General features: G+C 43.4%; 1 protein-coding gene across 2 annotated transcripts; it reads left to right on the forward strand.

The window, feature by feature from the left end:
- Window positions 1-455: 455 nt before the first annotated feature.
- Window positions 456-13,648, forward strand: ZNF662 (zinc finger protein 662). Of its 2 annotated transcripts, NM_207404.4 has the most exons (5): window positions 456-482; window positions 2,336-2,462; window positions 3,107-3,223; window positions 7,515-7,616; window positions 8,641-13,648. In NM_207404.4, the coding sequence occupies exons 2-5, from the start codon at window positions 2,429-2,431 to the stop codon at window positions 9,666-9,668; spliced, it is 1,281 nt and encodes a 426-aa protein (NP_997287.2). In that variant the 5' UTR covers window positions 456-482; window positions 2,336-2,428; the 3' UTR covers window positions 9,669-13,648. The 2 variants fall into 2 exon arrangements, with proteins under 2 accessions (NP_997287.2, NP_001128128.1); NM_001134656.2 differs by lacking the exon at window positions 7,515-7,616 and having other exon boundaries at window positions 456-755; window positions 3,110-3,223.
- The last annotated feature ends 8,370 nt before the right edge of the window (window positions 13,649-22,018 follow it).

Here is a 22,018-nt window from a genome sequence, read left to right on the forward strand (position 1 = left end):
ATTTTACAGTTTGACTTTTCGTGGACAATTCTACAAATATTCCTTGGCAGTTAAAGAAATAACTCCCCAGGAGGTGCTAGACATCGGGCGCATGTTAGAGGCACAAAGATGAGAATGTTAAAAGACATAAAATACAGGTCTGCTCTGGGAATGCAAAAACTGGTAAAAGGAGAGATAAAAGAGCAGGTGCAGTCTAGTGAAGTACCCGCTACCTCCTATCAGCAAATATCTGTCCACCTAGGGTGCAGCGAGCTGGAGAGGAAGGGGTGGCCTAGAGCGCAGGGGAAGGATTCCTCCCCAGCCGCCTGCACCCCTACCCCGGTAGCGGTCCCTGGGATCGTCCGTGTCTCCAGGAGAACCGGACCGCTCTCCCCTCCCTCCCCGAGCGAGAAAGGAGGACCACAGAGATGCGGCGCCCTCCGCCGTCCTAGAGCAACCGGAGCGGCCCGAGCCCCGGCCTCCCGGATGCTGGGGCCTGGCGGGTGTGGAGCACGGGGAGTCGGGCGTGGGGCGGGCAGGGAGTGGAGTCGGGGTCTTACTCCGGTGGCTGCAGGGCGCAGGGTAGCCGTGTCAGGCCTGCCCAGGTGCAGAGCGCTCTTCCGCGACCCCAACAGCCTCTGGTCCGGTCTGGCGCGCCCTCGCTTTCCCAGAGGGCGACCTGGGCTATGGCGGCCGTGGCGCTGGCGAGCGGGACACGCCTCGGCCTTGTCCTCGAGCTGCTCCCGGGACAGCCCGCGCTGCCCCGGGCGCGCCGGGTGAGTGCGGGGCCGGAGCCTGGAAGCAGTCTTGGCCCTGCCCTGGGTTCTAGGCCCGGAGACGGGGTGGTGCGGCGGCTGGGAAATGGGGGTACAACCCAGAGTGAGGGGCCTCGAGGGACAGGCAGCACAGCGGAGTCGACACCCCTGGACCTGAGCCTCAAGGAGAGCAGACGTGCAGCGGCACGGGGTTGAGCCGACTGCTGGGGCAGAGCGCACAGAGTGCTGTCGGGGGCGATGAATGGCCAGAATTTCAGAGCTGCCTTTACAGAGCTGGTTATGTTTGAGCTGGGTATTAGGTTGAAAAGGAATTTGCAATGCAGGAGCAGGAAGGAAGAACTGGATATTCAGGCAAGAGTAGCCGCAGGTGCAAGGACACAGAACAGGGTGAGGAAAGAGTTTGGTTTCCCAATGCAATGGTGAGAGGATCGGAGATGAGAGTGGTGGTGGCTGATGATCCTGGCCAGGAAAGCTGGGTCTGTGAGTAGTGAATGGAATTGTCTGTAGTGCAGAGGAATGTGGACTCTATTAGGCAGACAAAGTTGAGCCAGCCAAAGCCTTGGAGCCCTGGAGTGCTGGATAAATAGCTGTGGAGACTTTCTAGTGCGCAAGGACTGAAGTGCAGTGGACCAGAATGGGCTCCTCCACAGTGTGGAGACTGAGACCCTGAAGGAGGCAGTGGCTGAGAATTACGGGAAGTCCCAACGGCTGGAGGTCAGCAGTATTTGTTTCTTAAGAGGATGAGAGAAAGAAGGTGCAGGAGCTGAGACTCCTAGAGATATAGAAAATGGGGACATGGAGATTGGGACGTGGGTAAGCAAGTGAGGTGGGATCTTTGTGAGAGTGTTGCGGGTGGTGGGGGTGCAGGGAGTAAAGTCACAACGAGGATCTGCCCTGTTGAGTACAGTGTTCAGAGCAACCTGAATGTTCTGAGGAGCCCTAGCTGCCTCTGTGGCTGGTGGCAGTGACTGGGGAGGACAAAGGAGGAAGAGTCCTATACAGGGGCAGCAGGGATGGCAGGAATGGGGACGGAAGGCAGTGTGGCATAACAGGCAAGAGCCAGAGTCAAACAGGCCTGGGTTCTGTCTCAGTTCTGGAACTTTGGGGGAAGTTAATCCCTCCGAGTCTCAGTTTCCTCTTCTAAAAAACGGATCTGATAGTAGGCTATGAGACATAACAAAGAATATATGTCAAGTGCTTGGCACAGGCTTAATAAATGATAGTTGTTATCAAGGGTGGGTGACCTCTGAAGGAGGACACATTGTGGAGAGAGGATGGGACCTAGAGCACAGATGTGGTTTGGGGTATAAGGATGAAACAAGAAAACTTTTGCAGACTCATGAAAAAGAGGAGAAAATGTTTGCTGAAATAAAGATGAAGAGACATGAGAAAATTGATGGCTGATGCCTTGTCTCTTTGTACATAGGAGGCAAAAATCTTCTGCTGATAGAGTTCCTGTAGACATTCAGAATCCAGAATCCCCACAGGCACCCCCACAGTACCTTTTGATGCCCTGTCTCCCCTTCCTCTTGGCCTGGTCCTGGGGTTGTCCTAGGGCATTTAAACACATGTTGTTTCAGGAGTCAGTGACCTTCGAGGATGTGGCCGTCTACTTCTCTGAGAACGAATGGATCGGCCTGGGCCCTGCTCAGAGAGCCCTGTACAGGGATGTGATGCTGGAGAATTATGGGGCTGTGGCTTCCCTGGGTAAGGGTCTCTCCCTTTGGGCCCTGCCTCCACCCTTGAGAGTTTGCTGGCTCCTTTTTTCTCAAAGGCTCAGGAGTTGTTGATAACCCTCAGCTCAATGGCAGCTTCAGGCTCTTGGATTTTTAATGACCTAACCTCAGCAGCCGTTGGAAAGTAGGAAGTCCTGGTATCAGTTTGGGCCTTATACAGGACTTCCTTGCTCCAGAGTGAGAGGTGCCAAACCCCTACCCTTGTGTTGTGGGTATAGTGAGAAGAGAGCAAATTCATGGTGCTCCACTGAGCCTTCAGTTCCCTCCCCTCTCGGTTTGCAAGATCCAGCCTAATTCCAAGCATCCTCATGAGGATGTCTGAACTTGAGAGCTCTAAGAGGGAGAGGACAGGTAAGAATTGAGGACTCAATTCCTCAATGAGTGAAATCATCCATTTGCTGACTCAAACAGTTACTGAGTCGTCTGTCAACTTCCTGACCTTTGTAAGTCTCCTGGCCCCTCTCTTGTCCTTTCCCCTGGAATTCCTTTTCTTGTTCTTCCTAGTTATTTCCGTTTTTTTCCCCTCCTACCCCTGAAGACACTGGCCTGGGAGGAGCCTTGGGATTACTGTGTGCCATGCCACTCACCTGCCTGTCCCATTTCTTTCCTTTTAAGCAGCATTTCCATTTCCCAAACCGGCTCTGATTTCCCAGCTGGAGCGAGGGGAAACACCCTGGTGCTCGGTTCCTCGGGGAGCTCTGGATGGAGAGGCCCCAAGGGGCATCTCCTCAGGTGAGTGAGGGCACACGTGCCGGTCATCTGACCAGTTTTCTTGTCATGATCTTTAAAATGTCATAGATAGGTGTTTTTTTAATCTAGTGTTGTAGACACTAGTGGGATTGCATTTCTTCTCTGTGTTCCCATAGTTTTATGTCTTCTTTTTTTAAAAAAATTTTTTTTAGTATTTATTGATTATTCTTGGGTGTTTCTCAGAGAGGGGGATTTGGCAGGGTCATAGGACAATAGTGGAGGGAAGGTCAGCAGATAAACATGTGAACAAAGGTCTCTGGTTTTCCTAGGCAGAGGGCCCTGCCGCCTTCCGTAGTGTTTGTGTCCCTGGGTACTTGAGATTAGGGAGTGGTGATGACTCTTAACGAGCATGCTTCCTTCAAGCATCTGTTTAACAAAGCACATCTTGCACCGCCCTTAATCCATTTAACCGTTAGTGGACACAGCACATGTTTCAGAGAGCACGGGGTTGGGGGTAAGGTTATAGATTAACAGCATCCCAAGGCAGAAGAATTTTTCTTAGTACAGAACAAAATGGAGTCTCCTATGTCTACTTCTTTCTACACAGACACAGTAACAATCTGATCTCTCTTTCTTTTCCCCACATTTCCCCCTTTTCTATTCGACAAAACCGCCATCGTCATCATGGCCCGTTCTCAATGAGCTGTTGGGTACACCTCCCAGACGGGGTGGCGGCCTAGCAGAGGGGCTCCTCACTTCCCAGATGGGGCGGCCGGGCAGAGGTGCCCCCCCACCTCCCAGACGGGGCAGCGGCTGGGCGGGGGCTGCCCCCCACCTCCCGGAGGGGGCGGCTGGCCGGGCGGAGGAGCTCCTCACATCTCAGACGGGGCGGCCAGTCAGAGACGCTCCTCACCTCCCAGATGGCGTGGCGGCGGGGCAGAGACACTCCTCAGTTCCCAGACGGGGTCGCGGCCAGGCAGAGGCGCTCTTCACATCTCAGATGGGCCGGCGGGGCAGAGGCGCTCCCCACATCCCAGAGGATGGGCGGCCGGGCAGAGACGCTCCTCACTTCCTAGACGGGGTGGCGGCCGGGCAGACGCTGCAATCTCGGCACTTTGGGAGGCCAAGGAAGGTGGCTGGGAGGTGGAGGTTGTAGCGAGCCGAGATCACGCCACTGCACTCCAGCCTGGGCAACATTGAGCACTGAGTGATCGAGACTCTGTCTGCAATCCTGGCACCTCGGGAGGCCAAGGCTGGCAGATCACTCGCAGTCAGGAGCTGGAGACCAGCCCGGCCAACACGGCCAAACCCCGTCTCCACCAAAAAATACGAAAACCAGTCAGGCGTGGCGGCGCCCGCCTGCAATCCCAGGCACTCGGCAGGCTGAGGCAGGAAAATCAGGCAGGGAGGTTGCAGTGAGTCAAGATGGCGGCAGTACAGTCCAGCCTTGGCTGGGCTTTAGAGGGAGACCGTGCAAAGAGGGAGAGGGGGAGGGGGAAGGGGAGAGGGAGAGCTTTTATATCTTCTTGAGTTCTTGTTTTATTCATCCTGGCTCCTCTGTGTGCCATCTTCATTAACCTGTTTTGCCTCTTCCCCATCGCTGATATTATGGCTACCATGTATCTTTGCCCCATGAGTTTCCTGTTTACTCTGATCTTGGGTGCCCTTTCTACTTCCTGGCCTGTTTACAGTCTTCCAGCTTGGGATATAATGGCCATCTTTATCATTAGAAACCAAGAACTCTCAACCCTCAGCCAGATAGTTCCTATTCCTCAGGGGAAAACCCTGGGATTACTTTAGGCCCAACAGGACTTTCTTACTCTTAGTTTCCTAGTGATAACTGTGTTTCCTGGTTGCCTCCTTGGCCCCATTTCATCTTCCCATAGGGCTCTTATGTGGGCGCAGTGTGACTTGAGCTGTGCTCCAAATTTCCTCATTCTCACAGTTCCTTGTTCTGTCTTTTCATATTAGAATACTCTTGATTGCAGGTATTAAAACCCAATTCAAACTGGCTTAAACAAAAATAATTTGTTGTTTCATGTAACTGGGAAGTCTGAGGTAGAGTGGGCTGCAGGTATAGTTTGATCAGAACTACATTCTCTGCTCTGTCTCCGTATGTGTTGGCTTTGTCTACAGTCTGGCTCCCCTTTTGGTTGTAAGGTGATTGGTGGTAGTAACAGGACTCTGCTGCTTCATACCTAGGTGAAGAAACCTGGCAGGCCTTCCTTAGGCTTTAAACATTGTGAATCAAAGTGCCAAGTATACTCTAATGGACTACCTTAAGTCATATGCCAGCTCTAAATCAATCCTGTGGCAAGGTAACTACTGTGCACTGATTGACTTGGTCTGAATTGCCAATCTCTGAATCAGTCTCTCATGTAGTGAGTGGGATGGGATTAACCTGCTTAGCTTAGCCAAGTCAGAGCCTACCCTAGGAAGTGGAGTTGGGATACCCAACTCCCCACTCCAGCCCCCTACAAAGGGCATAGCTACTTTACAGTGGGGAGTAGTGGAAGGGGTATGGGGAGACCACCACAGCGTCTTCTGCATTCTTAGTGCTTCCTCTCCTCACCACCTAAGGGAATTTCTCATCTTTGCTTTTCTTTGCTTTAGGTAGAAAACCAACAGCTAAGTTACTCCTTGAGCAAAATTCTAACTCTCTGACGTGCAGCTGACTTCCTTGGCACATACATGTCCCTACTCAAAGTCCACTTTTGTCTTACAGAAGTTAGTACTCAGAGGATACATAGTCCCTGGATTTGGCAACAGAAAAGGTTGTCATTTGAAGGTGTAGAATTGATCTGTTTCTTAGGAGGTTTTGGATGAAGGTTACAAAGAGACAGTTCTAGCGAAAGCAGAAGTAAGGTGTATTACAGTAGATCTCTGTGAACAGAGGTGTCTGTTATTGAGTAAGAAGTGACTTTTGGAAATGGCTGAGTGAGGGTGTGAGTCCATTTCTTATGGATGCCATAGAGAGACCCCATCCATTGAATCTTTGTGGAATGGAAAGCAATAAATGGATAGGAAGGAAACTAGGAGATTACGGTTTCCCAGAATAGCCTGGCTAGACAGGAAGTCCTCATGAATAACTATTTGCAATTCCATCCTATCCTGATTCTATTCTATGTGAATTTGATTTCACCTCCTAGGGATAGGTGAAGAAGAGGCCTTCATCTTTTCTATTTCTTCTTGACGTTTTAAAGTGAGTGATATGTTTCATATCTTTGGGAACTGATGGAATTACAACTTCTCTGTTCCAGTATTTTCTATCCTTTATATAAATATATAAAAATATAAAAATATATAAATATATAAATTAAAAATATATGTATATATAAAATATATAATCATATAAATAAAATATATATAAATATATAAATAAAAATATAATATATATCTTATATATTATATATAAATATAATTATATATAAAATATATGATATATATAGTCCATCTCTCTATTATATATGATATATATCATATATAATTATATATTATATATGATATATTAAATATATATAATATATATTTATATATTATATATTATATATATTAATATATATATAATATTTTTGTATATTATATATTATATGTTATAATATATATTTTTATATATTTAATATATATTTATATATTATATATTTGTATATTTAATATATAAATACATATATTTATATATTTAATATAAATATATATATAAATACATATTTTATATATAAATATATTTATATAAAATACAAATATTTTTCTATAAAATATATATTTATATATTTTATATATATATAAATATATATATATATTTTTTATATATATAAATATATATATATTTTATATATATAAATATATATATATATTTTTTATATATATAAATATATATATATATATTTTTTGAGACACAGTCTCACTCTGTCGCCCAGGCTGGAGAGCAGTGACACAGTCTCGGCTCACTGCAACCTCTGCCTCCCGGGTTCAAGCGATTCTCCTGCCTCAGCCTCCTGAGGAGCTGTGACCACAGGTGTGTGCCACCATGCTTGGCTAATTTTTTTTGTATTTTTAATGGAGATGGGGTTTCACCATGTTGGCCAGGCTAGTCTTGAACTCCTGACCTCAGGTGATCCACCCACCTCGGCCTCCCAAAGTGCTGGGAATACAGGTGTGAGCCACCACGCCCAGCCTATCCTTATTATTCTGTACCATCAAATTTCTGCTTATCTATGTTACCAATCTTTTCACCCACCTTTATTCTCTCCCTACCACTTCCATGTCTGCTCTTTTCCTGATGGGCCTCACTCTTCTGACTGAGTCAGCCTTATTTGTATCTTGACCCTGGCAGGATATCCATTTCTAAAGCCTGCTGGGATTTCCCATCCTGAGCAGGTGGAAGAGCCATTAAACCTGAAACTGCAAGGAGAGGGTCCAAGCCTGATTTGTCCGGGTAAGTGAGAGGGAAATGAGCATTCTTCTCTCAGTCACATCTTTTCCTATCTTTCTTTTATAAGATGTAAAAGTCCATTTTGCCATTCATGTTCTAAACAAATATGGGGACCAGATCCTTAAATCAACCAATTAAGAGAAAACTTAAACCCTAAGCTTCCAACTTTCATTAGGACAAGCTCAATTAATTAAATTAATTAAATTAGGATGGGTCTTTTGCGTTAGACTTAAACTGAACAGATGGCCTGCCCCATCTAGCTGCTATGATCACCCAATATTTTTAATGTAGATGCTGTATTTTACTCATTGTGTTAGTTGTTAGAGATAAAAAAAATCAAGTCATATATGGCCCTTATCCTGGAAGGACTCACAGTCTCATGGGACATGATACATAAATGTATAATTACAGAAAAATGATGAAACTGTAACAGAATGTGAATAAGACACTATGAGAACAAAGAGGAGGGAGTCTTTTCCGAGTTCTGCCTGGAGTAGTTTGAGAAAGCACTTCCCATGGTTTCATGGTGAACTTGGTGCTTGGATTGAAAGAGAAGACTATACTTCCTTTTAGTGTTGAAAAGTATGAGGAAGCTCATTCTTGCTACTGTCTGCTGCATGTGACAAGCCCAGGTTCTCAGGTATACCACTAAGGATTCCTTATTTCTGAACAGGTCCTCTGCCCTAAGTCCTGGCCTGTTCTTCTCATGGTATAAACTGTACTCAGCTACCTAGGAGGAATTCTGACTTTGTTTTCCTTAGATTCAATTCACCTGTTTTCTGAGAGCCTACCCTGGTCCTTGGTTTGGTGCCAGGAATCATAGCCCGCAGGGATTCTATCTAGTTGCTGTCTTTACTTTTGGTTTCTTTCTGTGTATTAGCCTTGTTTTTGCCATTTTCAGCTGGGACAGGGCCACTGAGACATGGGTGGCACTTGGAGAGAAGTGGACGTATTAATACCACTTGGTGACCTTAGTCGCTGTGTCATGGATAATGATGACATTTGAAGCTCCAATTTCTTTTTTCAGAGGGTGTGTTGAAGAGGAAGAAAGAAGATTTTATTCTGAAGGAGGAAATTATTGAGGAAGCACAGGACCTCATGGTCCTATCAAGTGGACCCCAGTGGTGTGGATCCCAGGAATTATGGTTTGGGAAAACCTGTGAAGAGAAAAGCAGGTTAGGGAGATGGCCTGGTTACCTCAATGGGGGACGTATGGAAAGTTCTACAAATGATATTATAGAAGTGATTGTCAAGGATGAGATGATCTCAGTAGAAGAGAGTTCAGGGAATACTGATGTCAATAACCTCCTTGGTATACATCACAAAATTCTAAATGAGCAAATATTCTATATATGTGAGGAATGCGGCAAGTGTTTTGATCAAAATGAGGACTTTGATCAACACCAGAAAACTCATAATGGAGAGAAGGTCTATGGATGTAAGGAATGTGGGAAGGCTTTCAGTTTTCGATCACATTGCATTGCACATCAGAGAATTCACAGTGGGGTGAAACCCTATGAATGTCAAGAATGTGCTAAGGCCTTTGTTTGGAAGTCAAACCTGATTCGTCACCAGAGAATACATACTGGAGAGAAACCCTTTGAATGTAAGGAATGTGGGAAGGGCTTTAGTCAGAACACAAGCCTTACGCAACATCAACGGATCCACACTGGTGAGAAACCATACACATGTAAGGAATGTGGGAAAAGCTTTACTCGAAACCCAGCCCTTCTTCGACATCAGAGAATGCACACTGGGGAGAAGCCTTACGAATGTAAGGACTGTGGGAAGGGCTTCATGTGGAACTCAGATCTTTCTCAGCACCAGAGGGTCCACACTGGGGACAAGCCTCATGAATGTACTGACTGTGGGAAAAGCTTCTTTTGCAAGGCACATCTTATTCGACATCAAAGAATCCATACTGGGGAAAGACCCTATAAATGTAATGACTGTGGGAAGGCCTTCAGTCAGAATTCTGTCTTAATTAAGCACCAGAGGCGCCATGCTAGAGACAAACCCTATAACTGTCAGATCTCTCACCTTCTTGAACATTAGAGAGTGCATAATGGTGATACTTGTTTATAATTCTTATGCTGCAGGAACCCTAGAGACAAAATGAGATGACCATTCACAATTTGCTGTAACCCTTAACTTAAATAGCCAGTATTATCTTGCCCTTTTGAACATTTACCATGTACTCTAGCAAGACTGGTCCCTCTGTTCTATGATGTTTTAACAAGGCATCATTTAGTTGGGCAGCTACTCTGTATCAGGTGCTAACCACTTTACATACATTAATTTGCATAACAATCCTATTAAGGTAGGTGCTCTTCTCCCCATTTTACAAATGAGAAATCTGAGTTGAAAGAGGTTATAAAACTCATTCAGGGTTGCTCAGTTAGTAAGTTATAGAGTTGAAATTGGAGCCAGGCCTATCTGACTGCAGAGTTTACTGTTCTTTACTTAATTGTACATATTTATGTCTCTGCCCATTTTTATTTGCTTATTTTCCTGTGCTTTTAGTTTCCCTTCATCACTCAGATCTAGCTCCTTCAACTAAGAAGATCTCTCTTCCTCTTCTACTTGTAATCAGTACCACCCAAGTTAGTATTTAATTATGTGCCATCTTATATTTTTCTAATAGTCTCATGTCTTTTAATCTTAACCCCAGCTAAATGACTCTGAGGACCAACAGTACATTTCTTTTATGTTTTTCAAATCCTGAAACATTAATCTTTGACTAGATATAACATGCTCATGATAAAAAAGAATTGAAATAGTTGAAAAGGGTGTTCAGTGAAAAGTAAATTTCCTTGTCATTCCTATCTCTTGAGTTCTCCCCAGAGGCAATCACTGCTACTGGTTGTGTATCTCTGTAGATACTCTTTGTATACAAGTGTTTATTAGTATTGCTTTTCATAATTCTGTCTCACTGAAAACCTTATTTGATGGAAGCAACATTGCAGTTAAATTGTGAACTCTAAGACCTTTTCTTCAGAAGTTGCTTTCCTTTTGAGGCCACCAAAGTAATTTAGGGAAACAGCAGAGGGTAATCCAGGTCTTTTTTTTTTTTTTTTTTTTTTTAGACAGAGTCTCACTCTGTTGCTCTGGCTGGAGTGCAGTGGTGCTATCTCAGCTCACTGCAAGCTCCACCTCCTGGGTTCATGCCATTCTTCTGCCTCAGCCTCCCAAGTAGCTGGGACTACAGGTGCCCGCCACCATGCCTGGCTAATATTTTTTATTTTTAGTAGAGACGGGGTTTCACCATGTTAGCCAGGCTGGTCTCGATCTCCTGACCTTGTGATCCACCTGTCTCGGCCTCCCAAAGTGCTGGGATTACAGGCCTCAGCTACCACGCCTGGCCAATCCAGGTCTTAAGAGACCTCATTGCCTTTGTTTTATGAGATATCATTCTGGGATTGGGAATATGTAAACTCAACTGGAGATTTTTTTTCATAAAAATTTATATAGTTCCAGCCCTCTCATTGCTTCCTATCCTAAATCCTCTTCCAGTCTGTCCATCCCTCACTACCATGATAGTCTACATTCTGATAAGCTGTGAGGCCACTGCCAAGGGAGGGAGAAATGGTCACTTTCTGGTGGTGGTTAATGCTTTGTTAGATAGCTTCATCCAGTCAATAGTTGAAAAGTTTTCACATAATCCAGTATTGGCATCAGAGCCAGAAATGCCCTCCCTAGGTCCAGGACCAAAGATAAAACAAACACGAGGAACATGTAGCGTCTACACAGGAAAGTAAAGAATTATAGAATTAACTAATTCTACTTGAAATCAGGAGTTTTATAAAACAACATTTTTAGACGTGGTCATCTTTTATTGGTTTCCATCATCTCTTCCCCTTCTCTCTGGGAACAGTTACCCGGGTATTCTTTGGGAAGCTATCCTTTCTCAGCTATGTGGTTTGGCACCACCACCATCTTCATGAGTGGACCCTGTTTGGCTTGTGTCAATCAGTTTATCCCATCCCCTTGGCCACAGAGCCATTGTGATATGAGGAGATACTGGCTCTTCTGGAAAAGAGAGGCTTTTCTTCATCGAGAGCTACCAGAGGAGATATTATCTGTCCTCTGTGTGGCACATAGGAAAATGTGAGACCTAGAATTATAGCAACTTTTTTTTTCTGTTAAAAGGGGAGATTCTCAAGCTTCCAGGTGCTACCATATGGAGCCTAAGGATAAAGCCAATACCAAAGAAAACAGTGACTAAACAGAGAGAAACTAGGTCCTTGGTGACATCTTTTGAGCCACTAGACCAAGCTTTACCTGAAGCAGAGCTACCTCAGAACTTTTCAGCTATGTGAGCCAATAAACATCTGTCAAACGAGTTAGAGTTGAGTTTTCTGTTATTTGCAACTTAGCCACACTAATACTGTTTTGTGTTTGAAATCACTGTTTTCTCATACAGCTCCTCAGTGTCACCTTTTCCTCTTGCTCAGTAGTCTCATAAGCTTCTCAGTTTTATCTCATCTCAGTTGCTTGGAAGTTGAGCATCTAAATAGGTGGCTTTTGCTGGGTGCAGTGGCTTACGCCTGTAATCCCATCACTTTGGGAGGCCAAGGTGGGCAGATCACCTGAGATTGGGAGTTCAAGACCAGCCTGACCAACATAGAGAGACCCCGTCTCTACTAAAAATACAAAATTAGCCAGGTGTGGTGGCACATGCCAGTAATCTCAGCTACTCAGGAGGCTGAGGCAGGAGAATTGCTTGAATCTGGGAGGTGGAGGTTGCAGTGAGCCGAGATTGTGCCATTGCACTCCAGCCTGGGCAACAAGAGTGAAACTCCATCTCAAAAAAATGAAAATAATAAATAGGTGGCTCTCATGACCTAAGGTTAATTTCATGCATACTACTAAGTGATGCTTTAAGTCATACCATTAGTGCAGGAATTTTTGCTCCTTAGTTCAGCTAAAATCTGGGTTCTTGTCTCATGACCAGGAAAAATTAGTCACAGGGACACATTGAAAAGTGAGGAGGGCAGAATTTATTAAGTGAAAAGGAAAACTCTCAACAAAAAGAGGGGTCCTGCATGCAGGTTTTCCATCTCACTAAACTGAATACCAGGCCACCACACATGAGCTGAAGAGCCTAGTCTTCTCCCCCTGCATGAATTCCTGGTGGCTACACCCCGTTCTCCCAGTGTGCAGGCAGGCCCTTAGTCTGAGCCACTCCACATTATTTCCCTTACTGTGTATGTGTTAAGGAACGGAATTTTTCATCATGGGCATGTTTAGGCAATCCCCCTGTGCACAATGACCTGGGCAGCATTTGGCTGTCTCCTGATTCTATCATTCCCCCCTCTAAAGAAGTACATCTAACTTAGAATAAGGATAAGGATAAGGGTAGTGATCGATCTTAACTGGTTCCTGCTGATGGGGGCACTGTTTTGGGAAAATAGCAGTGAGATCTCCCTCAGAGGCCTATCTAAGGGTCCCTGGTAAAAGGTGGCCATCATTTGAGGTTCCAATTGCATGAACATTCAGAGTTCAATGGCCTGAAGGTGAGAAGAGACAAACCAGGTTATTAGAAGACAATCAAAATGAAACAAAGCGGGGATGGTAAGGACAGCTAAAAAAAATCCTAAGGCTGCTGACACACCCAGATAACTGGTAGCTATAGTTATGCCTGCTAAGATTGGGGTGTTTGGGGCTTGGCTTTCGTTAGCTCCCTTGGTCTTATTTTCCCAAAAAAGAAACCTCCAGGTTATGGGCACCTTATTTAGTCTAATCATCTGGCAGGATTTGCAGGGTAATTGCCCAGAACTAGAATATTGATCCAGATTTTTACATTACTCATCCCTTTTGCTGCTTCTGAGCTGCAGCCAGAGATTGCTGGTTGGTTCACAGGAATAAGCAGTGTTAGTTTAAAATGTGGGCAAAAACTTAAAAACAACGAATGAGTCTAAAATCTAATGACAAATATATAAGTCTTGAAACATAATTTCTCTCCAGTTCTCATTTTTGTTAAAAATAAATCATGATAGGACTGAGTTGTTTGCAAAATAAACTTTAGTCTTGTATTTGGTCTGATTATTTGCATAAAGTGCAGCAAGAATAATTACGTTTACATAGGCTTTTTAAATTGGTTTTGATGGAATTCTGTTCTGCAAGGAATCTTAGGACTTTTAAAGCTGAGCCCAGCCATGAGTTTGTACCCTCAAATACCTATGAGTTGGGTGAATTCCTCTCTTCTTGGGGTCCCAAGAATATGGGGTTCCTGGGCCTTTTAGAATATGACATTCCTTACTTACTGCAGGTTAGGAAACCTGTATGGGGACTGTGTAGACAAGGTATGAAGTCAGTTTTCCCAAGGGGCTTTTATCGGCTCTGTTAAGTCAAGCTTGATTCCTAAAAGGGAAGCTACCCTTCCAATCAAAGCCTTGGTAAAACAACCAGTTTCTCCAATTGTGTCCTGTTGCAAAAGAAAGTGATTCTTATTGCACTGATGCAAAAAAAATATACTGCTATAAATTAAGAATACTTGCAACTAGTTTCCAAATTCTGAAGAAGCAAGTAGGAGAGAAACAAATATGCTCCAAATTTTGATCACAGGAGTATACCTTACTCAATTATTAAAGGCTGTAAATGGCTCAAAATAAATTTCCTTAATTCTGAAAACAAAACAAGGAACAGCAATATTTCAAGCAAAAACTTTTAAAAAAGATTACTTCAGTTTTCTTTTAGTTCAGTACATTCTGTTAACTCTTGTTCTGTTTAATATTCATGAACATTTCAGCTCTTCATGAGTCCTGCATGTTTTCCTTTATTCCAATGTCACGATCTCTAAGGTTATCAGAAACTTGCATTTGAGAGCACCTGTCAAAGCCTTATGGCTGATTATAAATCATCCTTTATCAAAGGATCCTTTATCAAAGAGGATCAAAATAAGACAATTGTGTATGAATGACAAAATGTCCAGGGTAGATACAGTTAAAAACATTGACAAAGAAAATTTGGTTATCTCTGTGGTTTACAATAACATAATAACCTTAATTATGATATTATGATATTGATACAATATCATAATAACCTTAATTATGATATTGATAGCATATACTCAGACATTAGAACTGTAGACATCCCACACAATTTTGGAACATATTAATATTCACTAAAATATAATATGAAGATTAAACATCATTTTGGCAATTCCGTGTACATGTCAAATAATCCTGTTTACCTCTCTTCTGGATGCTCCAGGGGCCCTCTGTAGCATCCAACAGCAAGGGGTAAGAAAGACAACCTTGAAGCTGAAATTTGATTTTGGGAAGCCTGTTACATATATTAGATGTTTAAAACACTTGATGTTATGAAATAGAATTCCAGGCCCTGCATGGTGGCTCACGCCTGTATTCCCAGGACTTTGGGAGGTCGAGGTGTGTGGATCACCTGAGGTCAGGAGTTTGAAAGCAGCCTGGCCAACATGGTGAAACTCCATCTCTACTGAAAATACAAAAACTAGCTGGACGTGATGAAGGCACCTGTAATCCCAGCTACTCGGGGGACCGAGGCACGAGAATTGCTTGAACCTAGGAGGTGGAGGTTGCAGTGAGCCAAGATGGTGGCACTACACTCCAGCCTGGGTGACAGAGCAAGACTCCATCTTCAAGAAAAAAAAATAGAATTCCAGGTTACTGTAAGTAATTATTTTTGCCAAAATGATAACTCAAAAATTTGAAAAAGCAAAAACTTTTCCTTAGCCTTTACTATCACATGAAAATCTGTTCAAGAGAGAGAAAGCCAAATTTTACCCTTGCATTTGTTTACTATTAATGTCAGCCCCAATTTAAAAAATGAAATCTTACAGGCCATTCTATCAAATCTTAACCAGTTTGACCATGAGGTAAGATTCTTATAAACCTTTTATAACCTTTTACACAATTTGCTGAAGAGCAGATCAGTGCCTTAAGAAAACCTTGTTGTGCTTTTATTTCAATGCTCAATTGTACAGAAAAACCATAAATACCCTCTTGAATTTAATGTTCACACACAGAATTTCTTTTGCAAGATTAACTTTTAGAAACCTTCCATAACTTGTTTAAACCTTTAGCTTTATCTTATCTAATTTAAAACAATCCTTTAACCCTAGGCAAAAATTTACATTTCCATACCTTATAATCTTTTACTAAAAACACATTTTACTGTTCTTACACACCTTGCATGTAAATCTATTTTCAGGAGTCTCAATTACATGTTATAATGATAACTCTTAGCAATTCTTTTTTTTTCATATTTTTTTATTTTATTTTATTTTATTATTATTATACTTTAAGTTTTAGGGTACATGTGCACAATGTGCAGGTTAGTTACATATGTATACATGTGCCATGCTGGTGTGCTGCACCCATTAACTCGTCATTTAGCATTAGTTATATCTCCTAAAGCTATCCCTCCCCCCTCCCCCCACCCCACAACAGTCCGCAGAGTGTGATGTTCCCCTTCCTGTGTCCTTGTGTTCTCATTGTTCAATTCCCACCTATGAGTGAGAATATGCGGTGTTTGGTTTTTTGTTCTTGTGATAGTTTACTGAGAATGATGATTTCCAATTTCATCCATGTCCCTACAAAGGACATGAACTCATCATTTTTTATGGCTGCATAGTATTCCGTGGTGTATATGTGCCACATTTTCTTAATCCAGTCTATCATTGTTGGACATTTGGGTTGGTTCCAAGTCTTTGCTATTGTGAATAGTGCCGCAATAAACATACGTGTGCATGTGTCTTTATAGCAGCATGATTTATAGTCCTTTGGGTATATACTCAGTAATGGGATGGCTGGGTCAAATGGTATTTCTAGTTCTAGATCCCTGAGGAATCGCCACACCGACTTCCACAATGGTTGAACTAGTTTACAGTCCCACCAACAGTGTAAAAATGTTCCTATTTCTCCACATCCTCTCCAGCACCTGTTGTTTCCTGACTTTTTAATGATTGCCATTCTAACTGGTGTGAGATGGTATCTCATTGTGGTTTTGATTTGCATTTCTCTGATAGCCAGTGATTGTGAGCATTTTTTCATGTGTCTTTTGGCTGCATAAATGTCTTCTTTTGAGAAGTGTCTGTTCATGTCCTTCGCCCACTTTTTGATGGGGTTGTTTTTTTCTTGTAAATTTGTTTGAGTTCATTGTAGATTCTGGATATTAGCCCTTCGTCAGATGAGTAGGTTGCGAACTCTTAGCAATTCTTAACTTTAATGTAAAACCTGGTAAGTTGTTTTACTTATGTTCTAGGGGCAGGTCAGGCTTGACTCTTTTCAGTATAGTGAGAGGAGTGGTTAATTCCATATGTCCCCAGGCCTTACCAAGCTGTAAAGCAGGCAAGTGGAACAGTTCTCAAAAGCCAAAGAAGTACTTCATAACCTTAAAACATTTAGCAAACCTAGTATCTAAACTGCATAATTTAGACTACATGTTTACATTTTGAAGACATTTATATTTTACCAATAATCTTTAAGACTGTTTTTATTTCTCAAAGATTAAAGTCACGTGAACTAGGAGGCATTACAGCTCTTACTTTTCCTTCAAAATATATTTGATCTAAGCACTTATTTTTCTTTATGCCAGTTAATTAGAGCTCTTTTTAATAGACATCAAACACAACACATATATAACTACATATACAGAAGAAGATCAGTAGCTATAAGATTTTTTGTTTACCAATCTCCTAATTGGATTATTGGCCTCTGGGTGGACCCTTTAAGAGCATGGCCAGGAAATCATGCTGTTTCCAGGGCCCAATAAACAGGTATGGCTAGAAGACAAAAACAGATTTTGAGAGGGATCTATCTGCTTTTAATTCCTTGGGTTCATGAGGAAAACAGAGGTTTCTCCCAAAATGGAATCTGTGTCGCCTTTCCATTTTTCCCAAGGAGTTCAGGCTTTTAGAGATTATCTTAGGGCCTCTCATGCATGCATTAAGGGTGGCAAGGCAAAATGGAGAAAAATAATTCAGTTGACAGAAAAAAAAATCTTTTTCCAGCAAAACAAGATCCAAGAAGAGAAAAACATAAAGGCCTTTTAAATATACCTAGATCTCAGATATCCACTTTTGTTTTTTTAAGATGGAGTTTCCCTCTTATTGCCCAGGCTGGAGTGCAGTGGCACGATTTTGGCTCACTGCAATCTCCGCCTCCTGGGTTCAAGTAATTCTCCTGCCTCAGTCTCTGGAGCAGCTGGGATTACAGGCCCAGCTAATTTTTGTATTCTTAGTAGAGATGGGGTTTCACCATGTTGGCCAGGATGGTCTCGAACTCCTGACCTCAGGTGATCTGCCCACCTTGGCCTCCCAAAGTGTTGGGATTACAGTCATGAGCCATCGTGCCCGGCCTTGGATATCCACTTTTAATTAAGCTGAGCGCTCTTTAATAAAGTCCTTTTAAATTCCTTATTACCTGACTTTAGCCATACCAAGCAGCCAATATTTCTGGCTTTTGATCTTTATCGAAAGTAACTTCACAGGTCAAACCAACAAGTCTCAGTTAAGGCATGCAAAGCACACCAGGTTGGTTACAGCTTAAGATTAACCTCATAAATCCTTTTTCATTAAACAAAACTTTACAGAGAATATAAACAGTGATCCTTAGCATTCCTTTTACTGGTTTGCACAGGGAGAGGGAGGCCAAAGGCCTGACTGGTAAAAAAAACTTTTACCCTTTTGCTGGCATGCCAGGCTTCTGGGTCCCCATCCCCCAAGTTCAATTCCAAGCCAACTAGATTGAAGATGAATGGCTTCTCATTTAGAAAGAGGGAAGCAGGTGTCCCTGTTTCCTTTCTCTTCCTAGCAAATGCCTGGGGTGTGTGAGGAAGAGAAGAAACAAGGGCCTTCTTTACTTCTTCCATCCGTATATCCCTAAGTTCCACTGACCACGAAAGGGTGCTGCCCATGGGTGTCAGTGTGGCTTTCACCCATGTTAACGGGTCTAGGTGGTGGGATTGTCCACTCTTGCCTATGCACACCCTGTCCCCCTGCTGTCAGTAGCCTTCAAGTTTATAAGCTTGGAATTGAGTTTGGGACAGAAATATGTCTCAGGGGTTACACGGACTCCTTAGCATAAGCCAAATACTAAGGTGAAGCTGTGGAATTGAGCCCTCCTCCAACAAGGGAGAGAAAAGGGTGTCTTGTGAATTTGGGTCCCGGCCTAGTAAAATGTCTTCTAAAAGGAAAAAAAATCCTCTTGCATAAAAGTTAACTCCTGACAGGGTAGAGGAAAGATTAAAAAACAGCTTAAGTACAGGGCTGTGTTAACTGCCAACAGGGTGGAGAAAGGAAAAAAACAAAAACAAAAAACAGCTTAAGCGCAGGGTGGGAAAGATACCTGGGGGAATATCCTCTTATTCTTATGACAGTGGGTTTCTCCAACAGGGGGAGAAATATTTTATTGCTGTTGGACTGAGCTGCACACCTCGGCTGGGGGAGGGGAAGACACTGTGGGTGCGTGGCAGGGAATGCTGGCCAGCCAGCTGCATGGGGCCCTTGGTCCATGTGCCCCAGCCCCAACTGGGAGGAGAGTGGGGTCGGGGAGCTGCCCCTCACCTGTCCATCCTGTGCGCATACCTGTGGTCATTAAGGTGGGGGTGGAACACCCCCAATATTGTAAAAGAAAAGATAGGTAACATTACAGTCCCCCCACAAAGTAAGGAAAATACCATAGAAAAGACTGGGTTGGAGGAGGCTGACATTCCCAACCTCTGCGAGTGGCGGTCGGGGGCAGGAAGACTGCAGTTTCCTCTACCTTCAGAAGATGTCTCCATTTCCAGAGGATCGTGTTCATCCTGCAACCATTCCAGTGTGACAATGAGTAGGAACAGCGTCACTGGAGCTGCAGAAGTGGAGAGGAGGGCCATTTCACTATTATACCCTGCTTTTCCACTTGACCCTAGTTTGGGGCCTAGGGCTTGTGGTTTGCTGGTCCCAACCTTCCACTCTTCTGATGCTTCTCTTGGAAACTTTAATTCTGTGAGAGACAGGAAAAACCAAAGTGTTTTTCCCAGTCTCATACCACTTAACACAACACTTCACCTCTGATCACCAAAATATGTAGGGGTTTCACTCCACCAACAACCAGTTTTCCAGCAAACACCAACTAGATGTCCTATGATTTGATTCAATTCAACACTACCTAGAGTAGGGTTAGTTCCCACATATTAACTCCCTCACGACTGCCTCCCACTTCAAGTGCCAATCACAAGTAGTAGGTTGTCACTTATTCTTCTGAAAAACTGGCTATAAATTGGGGTTCACATGACCCCCTTCTTGGATTTCACAGTTTGGGGCTCCATTTTTTTTTCTTGGCTTATAAATCCTCTATCCATTGACTCCCCCAGTCTCCTCTCCTGTGATCATGTGATCTTGTGATTATGGGTCTGGATCCATGGAACTTACAGTATTCTCAGGTTTCTACCTAGATTCATCTGTGCTTCACCTCAGCATTCTGATGGGTGCCTGTTATCTCCCTTTTGTGAGCGTAGAGTCATGCTACCAATGTACAATGTTAAATGTTAAAATAGAGCCTGGGGTAGAGGTTCTATTCAGGAGTTGTGATCAGTCCAGTCTTGCTGATGTACTGCCTTTAGCTCATGAGAATCATACTTTTCTCAATGAAAGGAATTAACCCAAAGGTTGACAGTTATGTCTTTTATAGGCAGGCCTCAGGTGAACTTGGGTTCCTTCAAACTTCTGTTCACTTGAGTTTTGAGGTAAGTCAATGGAGGCATTTCATTGAATCTGTGTCCAAAGGCGAAGATGTATCCATTTGTATTCACCAGCAGGATGACGTTTGAGAGGTCCCAGGTAGGATGAGATAGATGCACAGAAGTGCACCTGGCCTGAGAGGACAGGATGAAGCCTGGAAACAGAGTGGTGGCAGCAAGAGATGCCCTTAGGACATGGAAATACATGAAGAGCAAACTAAACCATTTATATGGGAATCTAATCCCTTATTGAACTAATATTTGAATATATTGGCAAAACATCAAAATGTGAGAGGTTCTAACCAGCATTTATAGATTATATAATTGATAAATTGGCATCCATTGATCACAGGGTCAAACTAAAGGCCAAAGTTGTTTATATCTCCTGCAGTAAGCCTTTCACAGGCATGTGAAATCATATTATAAACCTCTAACCATAGACCCCAATATCTGTGTCTCACTTCCTGCACAATAGAGGACATTGCCACCTAACAGCTTCCTGCCACTACATAGTAAAGGCCTTTGCTATGATTTTGCTTCACTTCTTTGCCTCCTGGCTTGGTACTTTCCCATATGGCTCTGCATGGTGTGGCATGCCCCTCCTCTTGGGAGCTGTATGTAATAAATTCTTTCAAAGGCAGTTGTTTCTTTGTCTGTCAATTACTATAACCAATTAAAACAAATCCCAGGTATATTTTTAACACAGGGAGAACCCCACAATGTATAAATTATTATGCCAAGTAATAGAAAGTGCTATGAAGGACAACAAAACAGGTAAAGGGGATAGAGAGGGATAGAGCGATCAAAGACAAACTCCGGTGAGGGAACATTTGAACCAGAGACTAGAGTAAGATAGGGAGCAAGATGTGTTGATGAGTGAGAGCATAGCATTCTAGGTAGAGGGAATAGCAAATAGGAAGGCCCTGAGGCAGGAGGGAGCATGCTTGCAGTGTGTAAGCAGAGAGAGAGAGAGAGAGAGAGAGAGAGATTGAGACGGCAATGCTTAGGAGTGGGATGGGTTCAGAGTATGGGAGGTGGACTGAATTGTGTCCTCCAAAAATTCATATGTTGAAGCCCAAACCCCTGGTACCACAGAATGTGACTGTATTTGGACACAGGGCTTTTAAAGGGTAATAAAATCAAAATGAGGCCATGAGAGGGTGCCCTAATCCAATCTGACTGTTGTCCTCATAAGAAGAGGAGATTAGGGTGCGGTAGCTCATGCCTATAATCCCAGCACTTTGGGAGGCTGAAGCAGGAGGATCAACTGAGCTCAGGAGTTGGAGACCATCCTGGCCAACATGGTGAAACCCCGTCTCTACTAAAAATACAAAAATTAGCCAGGTGGTGGTGGGCACATGTAATCCCAGCTACTCAGGAGGCTGAGGCAGGAGAATTGCTTGAACCCAGGAGGCAAAGGTTGCAGTGAGCCGAGATCACACCACTGCACTCCAGCCTGGGTGACAGAGAGAGACTCTGTCTCAAAAAAAAAAAAAAAAAAAAAAAAGCAGCGATTAGGACACACAGAAAGACACCAGGAGTGCACATGCACAGAGGCATGGCCATGTGAAGAGACATCAAGAGAGCAGCCATCTGCAAGCCAAGGAGAAAGGGCTCAGAGGAAACCAACCCTGCCAGCACCTTGATCTTGGACTTCCAGTCTCCAGAACTGTGAGAAAATAAATTTCTGTTGTTTAAGC

This window comes from Homo sapiens, chromosome 3 (genome assembly GCF_000001405.40).
Source record: "Homo sapiens chromosome 3, GRCh38.p14 Primary Assembly".
Classification (NCBI taxonomy): Eukaryota; Metazoa; Chordata; class Mammalia; order Primates; family Hominidae; genus Homo; species Homo sapiens.